The following is a 4394-nucleotide window of genomic DNA, read 5'->3' as shown; positions in this document are numbered from 1 at the left end:
TCCTGCCTCAGCCTCCCTCTCTCTCTTTCTCTGTCTTTCTCTTGCTCTTTTTTCTCTTCTCTTCTCTTCCTTCCTTCCTTTTCTTTCTTTCTTTTTTTGACAGAGTCTCATTCTGTTGCCCAGGCTAGAGTACACTGGCACTATCTCTGCTCACTGCAACCTCAGCCTCCTGGGTTCAAGCAATTCTCCTGCCTCAGCCTCCCGAGTAGCTGGGATTACAGGCATGCACCACCACACCTGGCTAAGTTTTGTATTTTTAGTAGAGATGGGGGTTTCACCATGTTGGCCAGGCTGGTCTTGAACTCCTGACCTCAAGTGATCTGCCCGCCTTGGCCTCCCAAAGTGCTGCAATTACAAGCGTGAACCACAGCGCCCAGTTGGATTTCATGCAATGCATTATACATGAGACAAAGATGCCCTTGGACGTTGTTCCTGTCCTCAGGGAGTGCAGGTCCAGTAGAGAGGAGGGACAGATGACACAGTACAGTGTGACAGAGCAAGAGGCACAAGAGGGTCAACACATCAGAACATCTCGTGAGCCACGTGTTCTGCGTGGGAGTGAAGGGCAGACCTATGCAGAGGAGCTGGGGAGAAGCAGTGGGTGCAGCGCCACGGGATGACGGCTTAGTGGGCAGCCTAGTGGGGCTTTTACTGTCAGCAATTCAGTGCTGCTGGTGCCTGAAGGAGGCAGCAGTGGAAGCAGTGGACGTTACACGGGGCAAATATCAGCAAGAAGACTGTGGTTGGCAGCCCAGGGGCAGGTGAAGGGTGGGTAGGGCCCCAGCCTGGAGATTCTAGTTTGCATGCCTGGGTGAGCACCTGCAGTGTGAGAGGACAAGGCAGGGAAAAAGGAGGAGAAATAGCGCTGGGGGCGGGGGAGGGGAGTGTGATCATCATTCTGTTGTATTTATTAAGATGTGTGATAAAATAACTCTTGGGAGCTGGCAGGTAGCATCTTCCTGACGTAAAGGTTACCTGAAAACATGCCTGAAAATCAGACATGATAAAATCAAACCACAGGCTTCTATATTAATAGAGAAATATCATGCCAAAAAATTAAATTCTTAAAAAATCCTTAATAATATTACTTTCCTTTTAGATATAATGCTTGATGATATACTTCCAAGCCTGTCATTCTTTTTCGTTGTCTCCATCACAACTGAAAGCAGTCCATCAGGTTAAATCTAGTGAATAAAGAATCATCATTTTTAGCAAGGTTAGCAGTCTTCATCTTTATCTGTGTTGTATCAAGCATATGAAATGAAGTTACATGTCTCTTATCAATAGCATCTGCTTTCATCTGTATTTATTTTTTAATTCATTCATTATTCATACATTCATTCATGGTAAGGAGAACATCTCAGTTTTTTTCCCTCTGACCACTGCCTTTGAGGTATTATTTTATAAAAAAGAAATTATATATTAGAGACACAGGCAACATACCCTATATACCTGATTCCATGTCCCCCCTCTCCTCCCCAGGAATAACCACCATCCTTTAATTTTATATTTTTATTTCCTTTGTATTTTTTTATTTTTATTTTTTTAGACAGAGTCTCCGTCGCCAGGTCACCAGGCTGGAGTTCAGTGGCACGATCTCGGCTCACTGCAACCTCTGCCTCCTGGGTTCAAGTGATTCTCCTGCCTCAGGTTCCCGAGTAGCTGGGACTACAGGCGTGCGCCGCCACGCCCAGCTAATTTTTGTATTTTTAGTAGAGACAGGGCTTTACCATGTTGGCCAGGATGGTCTCAATCTCTTGACTTTGTGATCTGCCTGCCTCGGCCTTTCACAGTGCTGGGATTACAGGCGTGAGCCACCGCACCCGGCCCATTGTACATTTGTAACACTTTAACTGCAAGTCCTTGTGTGCCCCCTCAATACTGTTTTTGTCGCTTTAAATTTTATATAAATGCTATCACACTCAGCTGAGCCTCTGTAACCTACTTTTCATCTTCGGTATTAGATTTCTGATATTTCTCTATAGTAATCCATGTAGTTTATTCGTATTAACTGCTCTATAACATTCCATGATATGAATACACTAAATGTCTTTATATATCTAATTTCAGTATTCATTTCATTTTTTACTATTTAAAAATAGCAAAAATAACTGTAATGAGCATTCTGTCTCCTTGTGCATGTAGGCTAGAATTTCTCTAGGGCATATATTTTTTAGGAATAAAATGGCTGGGCTCTAGGATATGAGCATCTTCAAGTTGATTTGGTATTGTCAGATTATCCCTAAAGTAACTGTCCTAGTTGTACTCCCACCAGCAATGTAGGAGAGTCCTTTTAAACTTGGAACGGTCCAATGTTAACATTTTACCAATCTGATGGCGGCAAAAACCGTCAGATTCTTCAACTATTCTTTACTACGTCTTCAAGCAGCTTTTATCCATTCAAAAACATCTTCTTGCATCTGAAAACTCCCATAACAAACAATAAAAGCCTTGCATGTTTTCAAGACCAATACATAGATTTCTCTTATTGCTAAATGTAATGTTCATTTTAGTGTTCAAATGCTGTATAATGCATTATTTTTGAGCTATTATTGAAACAGCGTATCTTTGTGCATGCAAATAGTTACCTTCAAATTACACTTTTGCATATTTCCAAAAGATGGAAAATGTATCCCGCAATTCTTGTCTTTAGCTATATATATATATGTATAAGCCTTTCAGTGAAGCATCATTTCCTGCAGCTAATTTATATTAGGATTTATTGTGCAAAGTTGGAGAACAGGATTTCCAGAAATCTGCTATACATAAAGTTGAATAACTGTAATTAAGAAGAATTTTGAAAATGCAATGACCTCATACAATGACAAGTGGCTGACTAAATAATAACCAAACTTGGGGCAGATACACTCAGAGAAAGAACAAATATATTAGCAGCGTAGTAAGTAAAGAGATTATAGTCCTAAAAGAAGAGGCCGATGTTTTCAGCAACTTTAAGCTGTAGAATATCTTTGGGTCAGACAATAAGGAGAAGTACTTTGGTGAGGCAATATTTGTTACTTACTTTCCCCTAGCTAAAGCTGTATACATGGATAAAAATTTCATCAGCAGTTGTATACTCAGTTTAAAAACAAAAAATCACAAACATTCCATATGCATGCATAAAAGATGCCCAGATAATTACCTATACAAGAAATAAGCTAATTGAAAGCACGAAGAAAAGTTGGGAACCTTAAGATAGTATAAATATCTACTGAGCATTTAATTAATCGCCTTTTCAAAAAGAAAGGCAAATTTAAAGATTAAAGATGATATAATTCTACTCCTTGTTAAATATTTCAGAAAAAGAAAGCCTTAGTAATACTTAATTATAATTATTAATTTGTACAATAAAAAGCAAGATGAATATCATGAAGTAATTAGAGAAGTTATATGGTATTCACCAGCCCTACCACAATTACCACACACACACACGCACACACACACACCATCACTGCCATCACAATGACTACATGCTTACACACAGCTATACATTCCAGCACCACCACCACCGCCATCATTACATGCTTATACACATACAGCCAAGTGGAGTGCCTTAAATATTTTAGAGGGAAAAAGCAAGCAAATGGCTGCACAAATTATGACATTATTAAACTGGTATATCCAGAATAGTGAACTAGTTTATTCAGTTACCACTGTGGATCCACTAATACATTATACAACTTATTTCAAGCCATTTTTCAAAAATTGCAAAATAGATTTAATTTCTTGGTATTTCATCTCTATTTCTTTCTGCTTATCTTGTTCTACATTTTTCTTCCATCTTAAATTACTTTTATTTTCTTTTATAGTCACTTTAATTTTCTATCACATTACATTTTAAGCCAATTGCTACCATCATTAGGAAGAGATTAAGAATTTTCAAGGCCAAAAACATTATCTGCTATAATAATGTGAAATCTGTGTAACAGTGCTCAAGAATACTTTCTTTCAATAAGAAAAAAATTGAACCTACTAGTTCAAATTTAAAATGAAAGATAACAAAATATCTTCCATGGATACTTCATTTATGATAATTAAAATATACATACATTTTACTCATAAACATTTTAATATATGCTTAGGACAGAACAATTTTGTCTAATTTGACTGATTTCCTACTGGTCAATCATTTTGGAGGACTTAGTTATGCTTTAAGGTAATCCTGCATAGCATTCAGGAACATATACATATGCATATGTGTTTATGTACACAAAGATCTTGACATATCTGCAGGCTACAGTCAAAATTAAATGTTCCTCTAAAGCAGTTTCTAAGTGAAAGAAAAATTTATTATTCCTTGTTTCTCTTTTTAGACTTTATAAAATGTAGACAATAAAATTACCAGTTGCCCATATAACTAATATAATCTGATGTTTCTAAAATAGTCTAAACTG

Source organism: Homo sapiens, chromosome 6 (genome assembly GCF_000001405.40).
Source record: "Homo sapiens chromosome 6, GRCh38.p14 Primary Assembly".
Lineage (NCBI taxonomy): Eukaryota > Metazoa > Chordata > Mammalia > Primates > Hominidae > Homo > Homo sapiens.
The sequence above is the reverse complement of the archived record's forward strand: the minus strand, read 5'-3'. Positions refer to the sequence as shown.